The sequence below is a fragment of the Homo sapiens genome, chromosome 11 (assembly GCF_000001405.40).
Source record: "Homo sapiens chromosome 11, GRCh38.p14 Primary Assembly".
Lineage (NCBI taxonomy): Eukaryota > Metazoa > Chordata > Mammalia > Primates > Hominidae > Homo > Homo sapiens.
Window position 1 is genome coordinate 117,396,311 of NC_000011.10, and position 19,711 is coordinate 117,416,021.

General features: G+C 48.1%; 1 protein-coding gene across 73 annotated transcripts in view, besides 1 other annotated feature; it reads left to right on the forward strand.

Moving 5' to 3' along the window:
• The window catches only part of CEP164 (centrosomal protein 164), a 91,489-nt gene extending 74,533 nt beyond the window's left edge, over positions 1–16,956 (forward strand). For 40 of the 73 annotated variants that reach the window (XM_006718788.2, XM_047426578.1, XM_011542674.2 and 37 more), the window contains 8 exons: positions 240–301; positions 781–1,003; positions 11,615–11,722; positions 12,580–12,718; positions 13,308–13,655; positions 14,518–14,584; positions 15,485–15,607; positions 15,762–16,956. In XM_006718788.2, the coding sequence (XP_006718851.1) occupies positions 240–301; positions 781–1,003; positions 11,615–11,722; positions 12,580–12,718; positions 13,308–13,655; positions 14,518–14,584; positions 15,485–15,607; positions 15,762–15,858 (1,167 nt within the window). In that variant the 3' untranslated portion in view covers positions 15,859–16,956. Of the gene's footprint in view, positions 1–239; positions 302–780; positions 1,004–8,109; positions 8,269–11,614; positions 11,723–12,579; positions 12,719–13,307; positions 13,656–14,517; positions 14,585–14,987; positions 15,608–15,761 lie in introns of those variants that run through there. The other 33 variants (NM_001271933.2, NM_001440972.1, XM_047426570.1 and 30 more) reach the window with 3 other exon arrangements.
• Positions 15,675–16,187: an enhancer, noted in NCBI's record as "H3K4me1 hESC enhancer chr11:117282701-117283213 (GRCh37/hg19 assembly coordinates)". NCBI's record gives its function as "activates a minimal SCP1, AML or CMV promoter by ChIP-STARR-seq in naive H9 embryonic stem cells {active_cell/tissue: H9 hESC(naive)}" and the evidence as "EXISTENCE:reporter gene assay evidence [ECO:0000049][PMID:30033119]".

The following is a 19,711-nucleotide window of genomic DNA, read 5'->3' on the forward strand; positions in this document are numbered from 1 at the left end:
AGTATAAGGTGGGCCAAGGCATCAGGAAGGGCTGGCTCTGTTCTCTATGGGACCTGGTCTGTTCTTATTCCCAGCTACCAGTCGTCTCCACCAGTCAGATGATATCTATAAGTAAACAGTGCCTGGCAGCTAGAGAGCCATTTCCTTGTCTAGACCACTGGGAGGGGCTTTGGGGTCTTGAACCTGCAGGGTGTCTGCTTTTGCTACACTCAGTGGACTTTTCTACCATGTGTCCCTAGAACCAGACCAAAGAGGTGTCTTCTTCTCTCTCCCAGAGCAAGGAGGACTTATACTTGGACAGGTGAGTTCCCATAGCCTGTCTTATTTGAGGTTAGGGTACCATGAAGGGGTAAGTGAGTACCTGCATCATAGAGCTGGGGTGAGCTGAAGTGAGGAGACGGTGATCACCAGTGGGGCTTAGTTCATGGGGAAGGCTCCGGAGGATTAAGGAATCTTCTCTGGCAAGCCAAGAAACTGCCCACTGTGACCTTTGACATGGCATTCTCCTCTAGTGGAGAAGCAGATTGCTGGAAGTGTTTGGTCATCTATCTGGAGGCCCCAGGCCTGATCCCTCTCAGAGTCAGGGTGGGGGCACTGTCAGTCCCAGGCACTGCGCACTGTGGGTATTGAACAGTGGCATCCCTGCACTCACAGTGCCCAGCCCTAGCCCAGCAGCTCTGGTCTGTGCTCAGGGTTGGCATCTGCTGGGGAAGGGGCTGTGTGACCCAGAGCAGAGTTCTTAGAGGCTTCTGTTTTCCTTCTTCAACTCTCCTGCTCCAGCCTGTCCTCCCACAATGTCTGGCACCTCCTCTCTGCTGAGGGGGTAGCCCTCCGTAGTGCCAAGGAGTTCCTTGTGCAGCAGACACGCTCCATGCGGAGGCGGCAGACAGCTCTGAAAGCTGCCCAGCAGCATTGGCGCCATGAGCTGGCCAGTGCGCAGGAGGTGGCCAAAGACCCACCAGGCATCAAGGCCCTGGAAGATATGCGCAAGAACCTGGAGAAGGTCAGGAGCTTTGGGAAGGGCCTGCCAGCCCTGTGTGGGGGAGGCGGGGGGAGTCAGCAAAACAGTCCTTTGGGCTCCCCCTCAGTTGGTCATTCTCGGGACTCCATGAGAGTGGCCACCTTGGCCCTGGGTCACTTATATTTACTTGGCAATGCATAGTATGCAAACACCTTTTCTAGTAGTAAATAATTTAAACCTCATGATAACACTATTAGTCCATTTTCATGCTGCTGATAAAGACATACCTGAAACTGGGAAGAAAAAGAAAATTGAACTTACAGTTCCACATGGCTGGGGAGGCCTCAGAATCATGGCAGGAGGCGAAAGGCACTTCTTACATGGTGGCAGCAAGAGAAAATGAGGAACAAGCAAAAGCAGAAACCCATCATAAACCCATCAGGATCTCGGGAGACTTATTCACTATCACGAGAACAGTATGGGGGAAATGGCCCCTGTGATTCAAATTATCTCCCACCAGGTCCCTCCCACAACACGTGGAAATTATGGGAGTACAATTCAAGATGAGATTTTGGTGGGGACACAGAGCCAAACCATATCATTCCACCCCTTGCCCCTCCATATCTCATGTCCTCACATTTCAAAACCAATCATGCCTTCCCAACAGTCCTCAAAGTCTTAACTCATTTCAGCATTAACCCAAAAGTCCACAGTCCAGAGTCTCATCTGAGACAAGGCAAGTCCCTTCTGCCTATGAGCCTGTAAAATAAAAAACAAGCTACTGACTTTCTAGATACAGTGGGGATACAGGCATTGGGTAAATACAGCCATTCCAAATGGGAGAAATTGGCCAAAACAAAGGGGTTACAGGGCCCATGCAAGTCTGAAATCCAGTGGGGCAGTCAAATTTTAAAGCTCCAAAATGATCTCCTTTGACTCCATGTCTCACATCCAGGTTACGCTGATGCAAGAGGTAGGTTCTCATTGTCTTGGGCAGCTCCGCCCCTGTGGCTTTGCAGGGTACAGCAATGCAGCCAGAAGGCAAACCCTTCCCAGCTGCCTTCCGAGGCTGGCATTGAGTATCTGCGGCTTTTTGAGGTGCATAGTGCAAGCTATTGACGGATCTACCATTCTGGGGGTCTGGAGGACGGTGGCCCTCTTCTCACAGCTCTATTAGGCAGTGCCCCAGTAGGGACTTTGTGTGGGGGCTCTGACCCCACATGTCCCTTCTGAACTGCCCTAGCAGAAGTTCTCCATGAGGGCCCCACCCCTGTAGCAGACTTTTTTCTGGGCATCTAGGTGTTTCCATACATCTTCTGAAATCTAGGCGGAGGTTCCCAGACCTTAGTTCTTGACTTCTGTGCAGCCGCAGGCTCAACACCACATGGAAGTTGCCAAGGTATGGGGCTTGCATCCTCTGAAACCATGGGCCAAGCTGTACCTTGCCCCCTTTTAGCAATGGCTGGAGTGGCTGGGATGCAGGGCACCAAGTCCCTAGGCTGCACACAGCATGGGGACCCTGGGCCTGGCCCACGAAACCATTTTTTCCTCCTAGGCCTCTGGGTCTGTGATGGGAGGGGCTGCCCATGAAGACCTATGACATGTCCTGGAGATATTTTCCCCATTGTCTTGGAGATTCTGCTCCTTGTTACATATGAAAATTTTTGCAGCTAGCTTGAATTTCTCCTCAAAAAATGGGTTTTTCTTTTCTTTCTTTTTATTTTTTAATTATACTTTAAGTTCTGGGATACATGTGCAGACCATGCAGGTTTGTTACATAGGTATATACGTGTCATGGTGGTTTGCTGCACCCAACAACCGGTCATCTGCATTAGGTATTTCTCCTAATGCTATCCCTCCCCTAGCCCCCAACCCTGACAGGCCCCGGTGTGTGATGTTTCCTTCCCTGTTTCCATGTGTTCTCATTGTTCAACTCCCACTTATGAGTGAGAACATGCAGTGTTTGATTTTCTGTTCCTGTGTTAGTTTGCTGAGAATGATAGTTTCCAGCTTCATCCATGTCCCTACAAAGGACATGAACTCATCCTTTTTTATGGCTGCATAGTATTCCATGGTGTATATGTGCCACATTTTCTTTATCCAGTCTATCATTGATGGGCATTTGGGTTGGTTCCAAGTCTTTGCTATTGTGAACAGTGCTGCAATAAACATATGTGTGCATGTGTCTTTATAATAGAATGGTTTATAATCCTTTGGGTATATACCCAGTAATGGAATTGCTGGGTCAAATGGTATTTCTGGTTCTAGATCCTTGAGGCATCACCACACTGTCTTCCACAGTGGTTGAACTAATTTATGCTTACACCAACAGTGCAAAAGCATTCCTATTTCTCCACATCCTCTCCCAGCACCTGTTGTTTCCTGACTATTTAATGATTGCCATTCTAACCAATGTGAGATGGTATCTCATTGTGGTTTTGATTTGCAGTTCTCTAATGACCAGTGATGATGAGCTTTTTTTTTATGTGTTTGTTGGCTGCGTAAATGTCTTCTTTTGAGAAGTGTCTGTTCATATCCTTTGCCCACTTTTTGATGAGGTTGTTTGTTTTTTTCTTGTAAATTTGTTTAAGTTCTTTGTAGATTCTGGATATTAGCCCTTTGTCAGATGGGTAGATTGCAAAAATTTTCTCCCATTCTGTAGGTTGCCTGTTCACTCTGATGGTAGTTTCTTTTGCTGTGCAGAAGCTCTTTAGTTTAATTAGATCTCATTTGTCAATTTTGGCTTTTGTTGCCATTGCTTTTGGTGTGTAGTCATGAAGTCTTTGTCCATGCCTATATCCTGAATGGTATTGCCTAGGTTTCCTTCTAGAGTTTTTATGGTTTTAGGTCTTACATTTAAGTCTTTAATCCATCTCGAATTAATTTTTGTATAAGGTGTAAGGAAGGGGTCCAGTTTCAGTTTTCTGCATATGGCTAGTCAGTTTTCACAACATCATTTATTAAATAGGGAATCCTTTCCCCATTTCTTGTTTTTGTCAGGTTTGTCAAAGATCAAATGGTTGTAGATGTGTGGCGCTATTTCTGAGGCCTCTGTTCTGTTCTATTGGCTTATATATCTGTTTTGGTACCAGTACCATGCTGTTTTGGTTACTGTAGCCTTGTAGTATCATTTGAAGTCAGGTAGTATGATGCCTCCAGCTTTGTTCTTTTTGCTTAGGATTGTCTTGGCTATACAGGCTCTTTTTTGGTTCCATATGAAAGTTGAAGTAGTTTTTTCTAATTCTGTGAAGAAAGTCAATGGTAGCTTGATGGGGATAGCATTGAATCTGTAAATTACTTTGGGCAGTATGGTCATTTTCACAATATTGATTCTTCGTATCCATGAGCATGGAATGTTTTTCCATTTGTTTTTGTCCTCTCTTACTTCCTTGAGCAGTGGTTTGTAGTTCCCCTTGAAGAGGTCCTTCACATCCCTTGTAAGTTGGATTCCTAGGTATTTTATTCTCTTTGTAGCAACTGTGAATGGGAGTTCACTCATGCTTTGGCTCTCCGTTTGCCTATTATTGGTGTATAGGAATGCTTATAATTTTTGCACATTGATTTTGTATCCTGAGACTTTGCTGAAGTTGCTGATCAGCTTAAGGAGATTTGGGGTTGAGATGATGGGGTTTTCTAAATATATAGTCATGTCATCTGCAAACAGAAACCATTTGACTTCCTCTCTTCCTATTTGAATACCCTTTGTTTCTTTCTCTTGCCTGATTGCCCTGGCCAGAACTTCCAATACTGTGTTGAATAGGAGTGGTGAGAGAGGATATCCTTGTCTTGTGCCGGTTTTCAAAGGGAATGCTTCCAGTTTTTGTCCATTCAGTATGATATTGGCTGTGGGTTTGTCATAAATAGCTCTTATTATTTTGAGATACGTTCCCTCAATACCTAGTTTATTCAAAGTTTTTAGCATGAAGGGGTGTCAAATTTTATCGAAGGCCTTTTCTGCATCTGTTGAGATAATCATGTGATTTTTGTCATTAGTTCTGTTTATGTGATGGATTGTGTTTATTGATTTACGTATGTTGAACCAGCCTTGCATCCCAGGGATGAAGCCGACTTGATTGTGGTGGATAAGCTTTTTGATGTGCTGCTAGATTCAGTATTTTATTGAGAATTTTCACATTGATGTTCATCAGGGATATTGGCCTGAAATTTTCTTTTTTTGTTGTGTCTCTGCCAGGTTTTGGTATCAGGATGATGCTGGCTTCATAAAATGAGTTAGGGAGGAGTCCTTTTTCTATTGTTTGGAGTAGTTTCAGAAGGAATGGTACCAACTCCTCTTTGTACCTCTGGTAGAATTCGGCTTTAAATCTGTCTGGTCCTGGGCTTTTTTTGATTTGTAGGCTTTTAATTACTGCCTCAATTTCAGAACTTGTTATTGGTCAATTCAGGGATTCAACTTCTTTCTGGTTTAGTCTTGGGAGGGTATATGTGTCCAGGAATTTATCCATTTCTTCTAGATTTTCTAGTTTATTTGCATACAAGTGTGTATAGTATTCTCTGATGGTAGTTTGTATTTCTGTGGGATCAGTGGTAATATTCCATTTATTATTTTTTATTGTGTCTATTTGATTATTTTTTCTTCTTTATTAGTCTGGATAGCAGTCTATCTATTTTGCTAATCTTTTCAAAGAACCAGCTCCTGGATTGATTGATTTTTTTAAAGGGTTTTTTGTGTCTCTATCTCCTTTAATTCTGCTCTGATCTTAGTTATTTCTTGTCTTCTGCTAACTTTTGAATTTGTTTCTTCTTGCTTCTCTACTTCTTTTAATTGTGGTGTTAGGGTGTCGATTTTAGATCTTTCCTGCTTTCTCCTGTGGGCATTTAGTGCTGTAAGTTTCCCTCTAAACCCTGCTTTAGCTGTGTCCCAGAGATTCTGGTACATTGTGTCTTTGTTCTCATTGGTTTCAAAGAACTTACTTGTTTCTTTTCTTTTCTTGTCTTTTTTTTTTTTTTGAGACAGAGTCTTGCTCTGTCACCCAGGCTGGAGTGCAGTGGCATGATCTTGGCTCACGCAAACTCTGCCTCCCAGATTCAAGCGATTCTCCTGCTTCAGCCTCCTGAGTAGCTGGGATTACAGGTGTGTGCCACCATGCCTGGTTAATTTTTGTATTTTTAGTAGAGGCGGGGTTTCACCATGTTTTTCAGGCTGGTCTCGAGCTCCTGACCTCATGATCCTCCTGGCTCGGCCTCCCAAAGTGTTGGGATTACAGCCCTGAGCCACCACACCCAGCCTTGAGTGAGTTTCTTAATCTTGAGTTCCAATTTGATTGCACTGTGGTCTGAGAGACTGTTTGTTATGATTTCCGTTCTTTTGCATTTACTGAAGAGTGTTTTACTTCCAATTATGTGGTCAGTTTTAGAATAAGCACTATGTGGTGCTAAGAAGAATGTATATTCCATTGATTTGGAGTGGAGAGTTCTGTGGACATCTGTTAGGTCCACTTGGTCCAGAGCTGAGTTCAAGTCCTGAATATCCTTGTCAATTTTCTGTCTCGTTGATCTGTCTAATATTGGCAGTGGGGTGTGGGAGTCTAAGTCTCTTTGTAGGTCTCTAACAACTTGCTTTATGCATCTGGGTGCTCCTGGGTGCATATATATTTTGGATAGTTAGCTCTTCTCCCTTTACCGTTATGTAATGCCCTTCTTTGTCTTTTTTAATCTTTGTTGGTTTAAAGTCTGTTTTATCAGAGACTAGGATTGCAACCCCTGCCTCTTTTTGCTTTCCATTTACTTGGTAGCTATTCCTCCATCCCTTTATTTTGAGCCTATGTGTGTCTTTGCACACGAGGTGGGTCTCCTGAATACAGCACACTGGTGGGTCTTGACTGTTTATGCAGTTTGCCAGTCTGTGTCTTTTAATTGGGGCGTTTAGCCTGTTTACATTCAAGGCTAATATTGTTATGTGTGAATTTGATCCTGTCATTATGATGCTAGCTGGTTATTTTGCCCATTAGTTGATGCAGTTTCTTCATAGCATCGATGGTCTTTACAATTTGGCATGTTTTTGCAGTGGCTGGTAGCGGTTGTTCCTTTCCACATTTAGTGCTTCCTTCAGGAGCTCTTGTAAGGCAGGCCTGGTGGTGACAAAATCTCTCAGCATTTGCTTGTCTGTATGGATTTTATTTCTGCTTCACTTATGAAGCTTAGTTTGGCTGGATATGAAATTCTTTTCTTTAAGAATGTTGAATATTGGCCCCCACTCTCTTCTAGCTTGTAGGGTTTCTGCAGAGAGATCTGCTGTTAGTCTGATGGGCTTCCCTTTGTGGGTAACCCGACCTTTCTCTCTGGCTGCCCTTAACATTTTTTCCTTCATTTCTACCTTGGTGAATCTGATGATAATGTGTCTTGGGGTTGCTCTTCTCGAGGAGTATCTTTGTGGTGTTCTCTGTATTTCCTGAATTTGAATGTTGGCCTGTCCTGCTAGGTTGGGGAAGTTCTCCCAGATAATATCCTGAAGAGCGTTTTCCAACTTGATTCCATTCTCCCCATCACTTTTAGGTACACCAATCAAACGTAGATTTGGTCTTTTCACATAGTCCCATATTTCTTGGAGGCTTTGCTTGTTCCTTTTCATTCTTTTTTCTCTAATCTTGTCTTCACGCTTTATTTCATTGTTAATCTTCAATCTCTGATATCCTTTCTTCTGCTTGATTGATGCAGCTATTTATACTTGTATATGCTTCACAAAGTTCTCGTGCTTGTTTTTCAGCTCCATCAGGTCATTTATGTTCTTCTCTAAACTGGTTATTCTAGTTAGCAATTCCTCTAACCTTTTTACAAGATTCTTAGCTTCCTTGCATTGGGTTAGAACATGCACCTTTAGTTCAGAGGAGTTTGTTATTACCCACCCTCTGAAGCCTATTTCTGTCAGTTCGTCAAACTCATTCTCCATCCAGTTTTGTTCCCTTGCTGGCGAGGAGTTGTGATCCTTTGGAGGAGAACAGACATTCTTGTTTTTGGAATTTTCAGCATTTTTGTGCTGGTTTTTCCTCATCTTCATGGATTTATCTACCTTTGGTCTTTGATGTTGGTGACCTTCAGATGGGGTTTTTGTGTGGATGTTCTTTTTGTTGACGTTGATGCTATTCCTTTCTGTTTGTTAGTTTTCCTTCTAACAGGCCACTTTGCTGCAGGTCTGCTGGAGTTTGCTGGAGGTCCACTCTAGACCCTATTTGCTTGGATATCACCAGCGGAGGCTGCAGAACAGCAAAGATTGCTGCCTTTTCCTTCCTCTGGAAGCTTTGTCCCAGAGGGGCACCCACCAGATGCCAGCTGGAGCTCTCCTGTATGAGGTGTCTGTCGACCCCTGCTAGGCGGTGTCTCCCAGTCAGGAGGCATGGGGGTCAAGGACCCACTTGAGGAGGCAGTCTGTCTCTTAGCAGAGCCCAAGTGCTGTGCTGGGAGATCTGCTGCTCTCTTCAGAGCCAGCAGGCAGGAATATTTAAATCTGCTGAAGGTGCGCCCACAGCTGCCCCTTCCCCCAGGTGCTCTGTCCCAGGGAGATGTGAGTTTTATCTATAAACCCCTGACTGGGGCTGCTGCCTTTCTTTCAGAGATGGCCTGACCACTGAGGAGGAATCTAGAGAGGCAGTCTGGCTACAGTGGCTTTGTGGAGCTGTGGTGGGCTCCGTCCAGTTTGAACTTCCTGGTGACTTTGTTTACACTGTGAGGGGAAAACCTCAGTAATGGCAAGCCTTAGTAATGGCAGATGCCCCGCCCCCACCAAGCTCGGGCATCCCAGGTCTACTTCAGACTGCTGTGCTAGCAGCATGAATTTCAAGCCAGTGGATCTTAGCTTGCTGGGCTCTGTTGGGGTGGGATCTGGAACTAGACCACTTAGCTCCCTGGCTTCAGCCCCGTTTCCAGAGGAGTGAATGGTTCTGTGTCACTGGTGCTCCAGGTGCCACTGGGGTATGAAAAAAACTCCTGCAGCTAGCTCAGTGTCTGCCCAAATGACTGCCCAGTTTTGTGCTTGAAACCCAGGGCCCTGGTGGTGTAGGCACCCGAGGGAATCTCCTGGTCTGCGGGTTGCAAAGATTGTGGGAAAAGCGTAGTATCTGGGCCGGAATGCACTGTCCCCCAAGTCACAGTCCCTCGTGTCTTCCCTTGGCTAGGGGAGGGAGTTCCCTGACCCCTTGTGCTTCGTGGGTGAGGCGACACCCACCTTGTTTTGGCTCGCCCTCCATCGGCTGCACCCACTGTCTAACCAGCCCCAATGAGATGAGCTGGGTACCTCAGTTAGAAATGCAGAAATCACCTGCCTTCTGCGTTAATCTTGCTGGGAGCTGCAGACTGGAGCTGTTCCTATTCAGCCATCTTGCCAGCCACTCCAGGGTTTTTCTTTTCTACTGCATCATCAGGCTGCAAATTTTCTGAACTTTTATATTCTGTTTCTCTTTTAAAATGAAATGCTTTTAACAGCACCCAAGTCACCTTTTGAATGCTTTGCTGCTTAGAAATTTCTTCTGCCAGAGACACTAAATCATCTCTCTCAAGTTCAAAGTTCCACAAATCTCTAGGGCTGGAGCAAAATGCTTCCAGTCCCTTTGCTAAAACATAACAAGAGTCACCTTTGCTCCAGTTCCCAACAAGTTCCTCATCTCCATCTGAGACCACCTCAGCCTGGACCTTATTGTTCATATCACTATCAGCATTTTTGTCAAAGCCATTCAACAAGTCTCTAGGAGGTTCCAAACTTTCCCACATTTTCCTGTCTTCTTCTGAGCCCTCCAAACTGTTCCAGCCTCTGCCTGTTACCCATTTCCAAAGTTGCTTCCACATTTTTGGGTATCTTTTCAGCAACACCCCACTCCTGGTACCAACTTACTGTATTAGTCTGTTTTCATGCTGTGGATAAAGACGTACCTAAAACTGGGAAGAAAAAGAGGTTTAATTGAACTTACAGTTCCACTGGGGAAATGATTCTGGGGAAGCCTCAGAATCATGGCGGGAGGCAAAAGGCACTTCTCACATGGTGGTGGCAAGTAAAAATGAGGAAGAAGCAAAAGCAGAAACCCCTGATAAGCCCATCAGATCTCGTGAGACTTATTCACTATCACAAGAACAGTATGGGGGAAATGGCCCTCATGATTCAGATTATTTCCCTTCAGGTCCCTCCCACAACACATGGGAATTGTGGGAGTACAGTTCAAGATGAGATTTGTGTGGAGACACAGAGCCAAACTATATCAATAACCATTTATAATGTGCAAGGCAGTAGTAATAGTCCCATTTTCCTGGTGAAGAGTACGACTAATGTTTAGTACTTTCAAACCTTTCAAACCCAGTGCTTTGCCTTTCCATTCTGTCACACTAAAGACTTTGTTCGTACATGAAAGTCTTTTGAACACACTTAGCAAAAGGCTTTGAGTTACTTACCCACCCTGCTTCTCTGATAGCCTAATTTGCAATGAAAAGGCAGATACTTCATTATTATTAGTTGGGATCACAGATCTTTGACCAGTTGAGGGTCCTGGCAGGGTGAGCTCTCTTGGATCACCTGGGCCCTTAGAAATCTGATGGTGCTCAGCCAGGCGCAGTGGTTCATGCCTGTAATGCCAGCACTTTGGGAGGCCGGGGCGGGTGGATCACGAGGTCAGGAGTTCAAGACCAGACTGACCAACATGGTGAAACCCCGTCTCTACTAAAAATTAAAAAATTAGCTGGGTGTGGTGGTGCACGCCTGTAATCCCAGCTACCCAGGAGGCTGAGGCAGGAGAATTGCTTGAACCCAGGAGGAGGTGGAGGTTGCAGTGAGCCGAGATCGCACCACTGGACTCCAGCATGGGTGACAGAGCGAGACTCTATTTCAAAAAAAGAGAAAAGAAATGGTGTTTCTGATGGTGTTCAGAACTGGTAAGGGGCTCAGGCCCCGATGGCCCCTAGGACTGGCTTGGGGTCAGCAGAGAGCAAGGGGCTGGAACAGACAGAGGGGCAGCTTCCCAGGGTTATATACATGCTGCCCACGACCCTGTCATTGCTCTGCTTAACCCCTCTCAACCATGGTGGTGGTGGTGATGAGAGTAATCATAATTGGAGCAGTGATAATAATAACCATTTGCGGCTGATGTGGTGGCTCATGCCTGTAATCCCAGTGCTTTGGGAGGCTGAGGCTGGAGGATCACTTGATTTTGAGACCAGCCTGGCCAACATTGCAAAACTCTGTCTCTACAAAAAAAAAAAAAAAAAAAAAAAGAGAAAAAGAAAAAAGAAAAAAAAAAGCCAGGTGTGGTGGCACACATCTGTAGTACCAGCTACTTGGGAGGCTGAGGTGGGAGGATTGCCTGAGCCCAGGAAGTTGAGGCTACAATGAGTTGTAATCAGGCCACTGCACTCCAGCCTGGGTGATGGTGAGACCTCATCTCTAAAAACAATAATCATAATAAATAATAACCATTTGGTTAACAGTAACCATCTGAGAGTTTTTAAGGTGTAGGCATGGTGTTAAGCATGTAACATAGTAACATACTCTTTCTCTTGTAATTCTTACGACCCTGTGAAAAGTCATAGTTCTCTGTTCCAGATGAGAAAGCAGACTATAGTAATTTGTTCAAGATCACCCAGTCAGCAAATGGCAGGGTTGGGACTCCAGCGTCTGTGTGGGTAGTCATTTCTCCTCTGTTTTCTCCTTGGCTGCAGGAGACCAGGCACCTGGATGAGATGAAGTCGGCCATGCGGAAAGGCCACAACCTGCTGAAGAAGAAAGAGGAGAAGCTGAATCAGTTGGAGTCCTCTCTTTGGGAAGAGGTGCAGCCCCATGTCCACATAGTCCAGTGGGCCCTGGCCTTCCTCTTCTGTTCTTGGGATTGGGTTGAGTTCTTTGGTCCTGCATCCGGGGGAGTTGGGCCTCTAGGGCCCAGGATTGGGCAGTAGGCTTGTCTACTGGCTGATGAAGGTGGCAGTGGCTTCAATTCTGAGTTTGTTGAAGACACCTGTGGGTTTGGATACCTGTGCTGAATGGTCCGGAATATACCTGGAACCTCTTGCTAAAGGTGCCTGAGAAGAGGGCCAAGCCTTTACCCTGCCCTGGTCCCTAAGGACAGGTGTGACCAGGGTGTCAGGAATGGACACACATGATAGATTTTCCTACCTGCCTTGGGACCTTGTGGACTTTCTCCTAGATGTCTGAGGCTTAGGTGTAGCGGGGGAGGCTTAGGTGGAGTAACACTGCAGGGAGAGCTTACTGGGAAGGGTGGTGGGGGTCTGTGTGGACCTGATGGCACTGTTGTCTCTGTCTCAGGCATTTGGGACATATGCTGAGCCTTGCCTCCCTCCCACCCTGCTGTGAGGCAGCCTGTGTGATTTGCTTCGCCCAGGGTACCTGGTGGAACTCTGGGCCCCAGAGGAGTCTACTCACCAAGTCCTCAGTTCCCACACATCACAAGGGCGACAGCCTACATACCACCTTGAATTTGTAGCAACAAAATTGCTAGGAGAACAAATGGAGATGGCCATATTTCATGGATTTGCGTAAGAAAACCAGCTTAAAGACAAAACATAAAGAAGAACCTAGCTCAGTGTCCCAGCCACTTCCTAGGAAGGAAAAAGGAAGGGTAGAAAGCACGTGGGAGAGGTGGGTCATAACTGCTGACTTTACCCCACAGGCCTCAGATGAGGGCACTCTGGGAGGATCCCCCACCAAGAAGGCAGTAACCTTCGACCTCAGTGACATGGACAGCCTGAGCAGTGAAAGTTCTGAATCTTTTTCCCCGCCTCACCGTGAGTGGTGGCGGCAGCAGAGGAGTGAGTGGGGGAGATGCGGGGTGAGGACCATGGTATCCATGGAATGGGAGGAACTTGGGGAATAGAAGAAGAGCTCTCTTCCCTCAGCCCTGCAGAGGGAGGCCTCTGTGAGCCGGTGTCTGGACTAGGTGCTCGGTCAGTGCTGGGAAGGAATCACACCATCTAGGTTTGCCAGCACGTGGGGCTGAAAGGTCAGGGAAGCCCTCTGAATGCTGCAGAGCACTCTACGGTGTGACCACTGGCCTTGCTGGCCTCTTCTCTTCCAGGGCCTCCTTGAGGAGGCTTTTCTCTCTCAGCTGCCCTGGCCTGTATGTGACAGAAGGGCCCTCTCCCCTTCCTTCTCTCTGGGGTCCTGGGCCCTTCACCCAGCACCTTGCCCTGGAAACCTGTTTCTCATGGCCAGCTTCTCACTTGCACTGTCTGGAACACAGAAGCCCTGCCATCCCTGACCCCCTCATAAGGTTGAGGGGCTGTTGTCTGGAGAAGCAGGGAGGGGTGGCCAGTAGGGTCCTCCATGACAGCTGTGTCTGGGAATGGTCCAGGGTCCTGAGCTTGAGTCCCTTCCCACCATCCACCTCTTTTCTTTCAGTCGACTCAACCCCGAGTCTCACCTCCCGCAAGATCCACGGGCTTAGCCACTCCCTCCGGCAGATCAGCAGCCAGCTGAGCAGTGTCCTCAGCATCCTGGACAGCCTCAACCCTCAGTCGCCGCCGCCGCTCCTCGCCTCCATGCCAGCCCAGCTCCCTCCCCGGGACCCTAAGAGCACCCCCACCCCCACCTACTATGGCTCCCTGGCCAGGTTCTCAGCCTTATCATCTGCTACACCCACGTCCACCCAATGGGCCTGGGATTCAGGGCAGGGGCCCAGGCTCCCCTCCTCTGTGGCTCAAACGGTGGACGACTTCCTGTTGGAGAAGTGGCGCAAGTATTTTCCATGTAAGCCCCACTCTGGGCGGAGCCTTCCCACCTGCCTCCTCCTCCTCCTCTTCCTTCCTTTTCTTCTACCCTCTTTCTCCTGCTCCTTTTCTCCTCTTCCTCTTTTGCATCCCTTTGCCACACCTCTCCTCCCCCAACGTTACCATAGTCCATTGGTCCATTGACTCTACCTGTGGGTCCCTGGGGAAGGAGACATTGCAGGTGGCCCTGCAGCCAGGAGTTCTATGGGTTGGGACGGTTTAGATGGAGCCTGGCTGACTGGGGCCTTTATTGTGGATTCTGGAGCTCAGTAGAACCTAAAAGGTCATTGTCGTCATTATCTTAATAGCTACCATCTTGTGCAATACATGATGGGCCAAGCAGTTTATATATATTTTTTCATTTAGTTCTTAATTCTCTGAGGTAGTAATTATTTATCCCCATTTTACAGATGAGGAAACTGAGTTTCAGAGAGTTTAAGTAGTATGCTCCAGGGTACCCAGTGAGTGAGTAACAAACTCAGTTGTGACCCCATGTCTCTGTGACTCCAGGATTCTGCTTGGAACCTCTTGGCTGTGTGGCTAATTCTTGCTTCTGAGCCAGGTGGCCTCCCCAGGTCTCAGCCCTGCTGAGGATTATGAAAAGCCATAAAACAAGGCATTTGAGGGGAAACAAAATATCTTCTTTTTGCCCTAACCCAAATTGAAAAGTAGATTAAGTTTTAAAAATAAAATAAATAGGACCATTCCTGTCTCTCACCTGTCTCTGGCCTCCAGCCACTGAAGCTTTTCCTTTTATTGTTTATTCTGGGGAGGCAAGAGGTGCTGGTGGGCAGGGTGGTGACCACTGCCCATTTCTGAGTCCTGTCCCCATGCTCTTCCAGCTGGCATCCCGCTGCTCAGCAACAGCCCCACCCCGCTGGAGAGCAGGCTGGGTTACATGTCTGCCAGGTGAGCCTCCCTGGGGGCTGGTTGGGGTGGAACGTCATAGTCGAGCTGCTCACTGTGCCTCCCTGGGCAGGTGGACCTCTGAGGGGAGCAGACCTCCTGGTCTTACCCCAAGAAATCAGGCAGGCCTCTAGTCCACAGAGCTGTCCCCGCTTGCCTGGGTCTGAGGCGCCCCTCCATGACCAGGGGAAAGTCAAGTTCACACCGCCAAGGTCCCAGTGGGGAAGGGCTGGGCTTACCCTGCCAACCCCCTGAGGAAGCTGCCCTCTGGCCCCTGTGGGGAGGAGTCAGCCCCTGGTGGGACCCTGCCCCCGCCCCTCCCTCTAGCCCCTCCAGCCCCGGAGTCTGGCCTTTGTCTTTGCCCTTGAGCTCTTGTTTGCTTCCTGTGGCTCCCTTATTCCCCCAGTCCTGCTGAGCAACATCTGGAGTGAGAGGGACACCCTGTGGAGGAGACAGACGGGCAATTATTTAAACCTGTTATTAATTTTCCATTCATCTCATTCCTTGCCAAATGTTTTCCCCTCTCCCTCCCTTAGGCAGCTAACAGTGAGTACCCCCCACTAACCCTTTGGCCAACTTGAGAGCTGATGCTGGCCAAGGATTGAGTTGACAGAGGGGAGCGCTTTGCTGATGAGATTGGCGGGAGCAGGCGGATGTGGGAGCCCAGAGCCTTGTATCAGTAGCACCCAGCAAGGGGGCAGAGGGCCTCCACCACTTTCCCGTTTGGGAACTGTTCTGGAGGGGCAGATGTTTTGAAGCTTTGAATTGCTAGGGACCTCGGAGAAGCTGCTCTGGTAGCTGAGAGAAAGAGGGAGGAGGTGACAGATGTGATGGCCTCTGTGCATCCTCTGTCACTTCCGCGCCTCCTCTCTCCCCTCGCCATGCTCTCCTCTTCCTTCCCAGTGAGCAGCTCCGGCTCCTACAGCACTCCCATTCGCAAGTCCCTGAGGCGGGCAGCACCACCTTTCAGGGCATAATTGAGGCCAACCGGAGGTGGCTGGAACGTGTCAAGAATGACCCCAGGTTGTATCCTTTTACCTGGTTCCCAAACTGGGCTGGGCTGTGGGGACTGTGCTTGTGCCCTGAGGGGCTGAGGAGGATCCTGTTCAGCCTTTGACCCTTTCATGGCCCCTGCCTGGCTATGCCCAGCGACTGCAGTTTTCCTTCACCTTGTGGCCAGACCTCTCTTCTCGTCAACACCCAAGCCAAAAGCTACTTTGAGCCTCCTGCAGCTGGGCCTTGATGAGCACAACAGAGTGAAGGTGTATCGCTTCTGAGGCCCTGAGCAGGGGCTTGGGGCAGCCCAGCCTCTCCTCCACCCAGACCAAGTGCCTGAGGAGCTGCCTGCCTTCTTCCATCTGAGAAAGCACCCTCCTTCCCCCTTTGACTTGCAGGAGCCACCAGGGACCAGGGGGTTGAGTGGAACAGTAAAGCCACACATTCTGTGACTATATAACCTATCTCAGGCTAAAATGTGTGGACTCGTACGAGCTCTTGTCATTGACATGGCAAGCTGATGGCGTGCGGTGGCTGCGGGGTATCAGGGCCGGGAGCCCTTTGGGAGGAAGGGAGGCGTTAGAGGAGCTGCCTTCGGAGGCTCAGGGAGTCCCTTTGGAGCTGGTTGTTTCCTTGGCCCTGCAGCGCACTGCTCGGGGCTCCCAAGGAGGTTGTGTGTATGGTTCTTAATTCATCAGGACAAAGACCCCCAGCATGTGTGTACCCTGGGACCCGATTTCTCTGGGCCCACATCTATCTCCAATACCTCAGCCTCAGATCAGACCCTTTCTTTTTTGTCTTTCTTCTCTTAATTTTTAAATGCCTCTTTTCTTGAGCATTCCATCTCTCTTTTTGACCCTCTCAGGACTGGGCTTAGCTGTCCAGAGCCCTGCCGGAGGGTGCTGGGGGCTGTCCCTCTGCAGGCACTGTGTTTTCCTCAGGGGCTGTCCTCAGAACACCCCTCCTGCTCCCTGGGGCTCCTCAGGGAGCCATTTCAGCTGGAGTCTCAGGTCTCAAAAACAACTTCTCCAGGAGGCCAAAAAAAGACTGGGTTGGCTTCTGGTCCTCATGATGGCTTTTATCCTCCTGGGACACTTTGGGTATATTCATGGGCATTGTTTCCATCTGTCTTTTCTACCTGTGCCACCCCTGCCCTGATTCCACGGCTGCCTCAGGCAGGCAGGCAAGGAGCTAGGCCGGTGCCCGGCCCTGGCAGCAAGGGGTCTTTGTGCAGTTGGAGATGCTGCCGTTGTGGCAGAGCGTCCTGCAGCCCCGCTTCCATCAGCAGGCTCTGGGGTGGGGGCTTTGCAGGGGATGCTCTCTGATGTTTGTTCCGTTGTTTAAATAAAATGCACTTATTTTTGTTTTTTTTTTTGCAAGCTGTGGGGTTGCCCTTGCTTCTCTGACACACAAATTAACTCCTTCCGTCCTCCAACTCATTTCGTGGTCATGGAATAAGAAACTAAGATCCAACTGGCTGTTGATCTCCTCAGATGCCTTTTAAGCATCAGCCCACTACATAGAAAACTCCGTTTCATCATGTGTGCTTTGGGAATAGCTTATGTGGTGCACCAACTCTAGTGATAATCCTGGGTATTTTCTGCATCATTTAAATCTCTGCAGGTCCATTTTCTACAAGGCAGTCATGTAAATGTGTCTCCTTCTTTTGGGAGGCCTTTGCCTCCTTCCTGAGAAGGGAGGAAGGAAAAATGAATATTCATAGAACACTGCCCTATGTAGTATCTGATTTAATCATCGCAACAATGTAGATATTGATGTAGATATTTTCTCCTCTGTTTTTATGGACGAGGAAACCAAGGCTTAGAGAACCTTTACATGCCTGGGGTCCCCAGTAAAGTAGCTGAGCTCCCTACATGTGCAGTGTCCCCACACTCCATCCCTGCACCCCCAGAGCGCCGTCTTCCCTACTACCAGTCCTTGGGAAGTGCTGAATTCGCCATCTCTCCCTTTGCTCCTTCACAGCTCTCCCTCCTACCAGCCGGAGACCCATGGTGCCATTTCCCAAAGGCTGATTGGTGTTTTCCCCATGCAGACAAATGCAAGATGAGTCCCCCAAAGTCCCTAAGCTGGCAGTTAGCTGGGTTTTTCTGCTCCAGCGGTGTGAACAGCCTAAATACAGTCTTGGATTTGTAGCAACAGAATTTCTAGGAGAGCAAACCAAGATGGCCACATGACATGGATTTGTGTAAGAAAACCAGCCTAAGGACAAAGCATGCAAAATAACCCAGTTCTGTGTCCTAGCCACTTTCTGGGGGGAAGGAAGAAAGGAAAGAAGGGAGGGAAGGAGAAGCAAGCTAACATTTGTTGAGTGCTTTCTTTGTGCCAGGTGCTTTTCATATGTTATTGTTTATAATCTTAATCTTATGATGTTAGTGTTCTTATTTCATCCATGAGGTCACTTAGGCTCAGAGAGGTGAAATCACTATAGCCCAATGTCATACAGCGAATGACCCAGTGTTTGAACCCAGATCTCTGAAAGTCAAGATCTGTGAACCAGGCTCTGCTGTGTTAGCATCTCCTATCCTCCTCCTGGCACACAGAACAGTCCTGTCCAGCTTGGTCTGAAGACCTGGGTTGCAGGAAGGGGATAGCTTCTAGCTGGCGGAAAACCTTCTTGGGTTAGGGTTTACAAAGGGACTTTTTCAGAAGATTCCAAAATTGTCCCATCCCTCCTCTTCATGGGTTTTAGCATCTAGCTGGGGAGACTAGAATCATAGACGTTTGGAGCTGAAAGGAGCCATTGAGTCCGTTTGGACTGCTGTGACAAAATACCATCAACCAGGTAGCTTTTAAACAACAACAATTTATTTCTCACAGTTTTGGAGGCTGAAAATCCAAGATCAAGGTGTTGACAAATTCGGTGTATGGTGAGTGGTTTCTGGTTCCTAGAGGGCACCTTCTGCGTCCTCACCTAGTAGAAGTGTAGGACTCTTGGCTCCTTCAGCCCCTTCTGAGGGCACTAATCCCAGTCATGAGGGCTGCGCCTTCACATCCGAATTGCCTCCCCAAAGGCCCCGCCTCCTCATATCATCACACTGGGGATTGGGTTTCATCATAGGAATTGGGGTCCATAGTGGGGCCTTATGGATTACTTCAGGTTTTGCAGTAGAGGAGACGGCCTAGAGAGGCTACATGAGGTGCCCCAAGTTGCAGCCACAGTGGCAGAGGTGGGAATAGAACCAGTGTCCTAACTTCCTGGCCTGGGGCTTCAGAAAATAGTTTTTTTTTTTAAAGGATATTCTTAGTAGACTATATGTTCACATGACTCGATATTCAAATGGTACAAAAGTCACTCCATGAGTTATCTAGTGCTCCCCATTGAAGGTAAAAAATACTACCAGTTCTTTCTGGAGATTTTATGCAAATAAAAAGAAGGGACACTTATGATTCTCTTCCCTATTACTGGTGGAGTATGGGTCACTCCTAATGTAGGATGGGACGATTGCCCCAAGCTCTGTCGTGAGTGGTTGATTGACGGTTTTCTTAAGGGAACAATGCTGGGAAAGATGATAGGCGCCCGCCACTGACCCCTCCCGCCTCCCTGCCCCTCCAGTAAACTCCCACACAAAATAGCAGTATGAGGTGTAGGGAAATAATCTTGGCCTCCGTCCTGGGTTTACTTTTGACTCTGCCACCTACAAGCTGTCACCTGAACAAGTCCTTTCCGTTCCTGTGTCTTCCCTGGTCACAAGCTCTAAGCCTGAACCCACACTCTGGGAATGAAGCAGGGTAGCGGCCTCTGCTTCAGCAACTCTGAGGGGTCTACCTTGGGTGGGGAGTTGGCCTCATCCAGAGGGCTGCTGGAGGGCCAAGACAAGGCTCTGGTGGGGAGGTGTGCTGAGAGGGGATTGCTTATCCCACCACCAGCTTTTCTGGGGGAGGTGGGGAAGTGATGGTTAAAAAATGGAGTTCCTGCTATCAGCCATGTCCTGATGAATTGGAAAGTCCCCTTCTTTCTCCTTTCCTCTTGCATCTCCTGCCTGCTTCCCCTGCCTGCCCTCCTGTGACATGTGCCCTCTCCAGCAGGTATGTCACACAGCACCCCAAGGGAAGGGCAGTGTAACGCTCTTTTCCATGATGGACTACCACAGCCAGAGGAAGACAGGCCTTCCC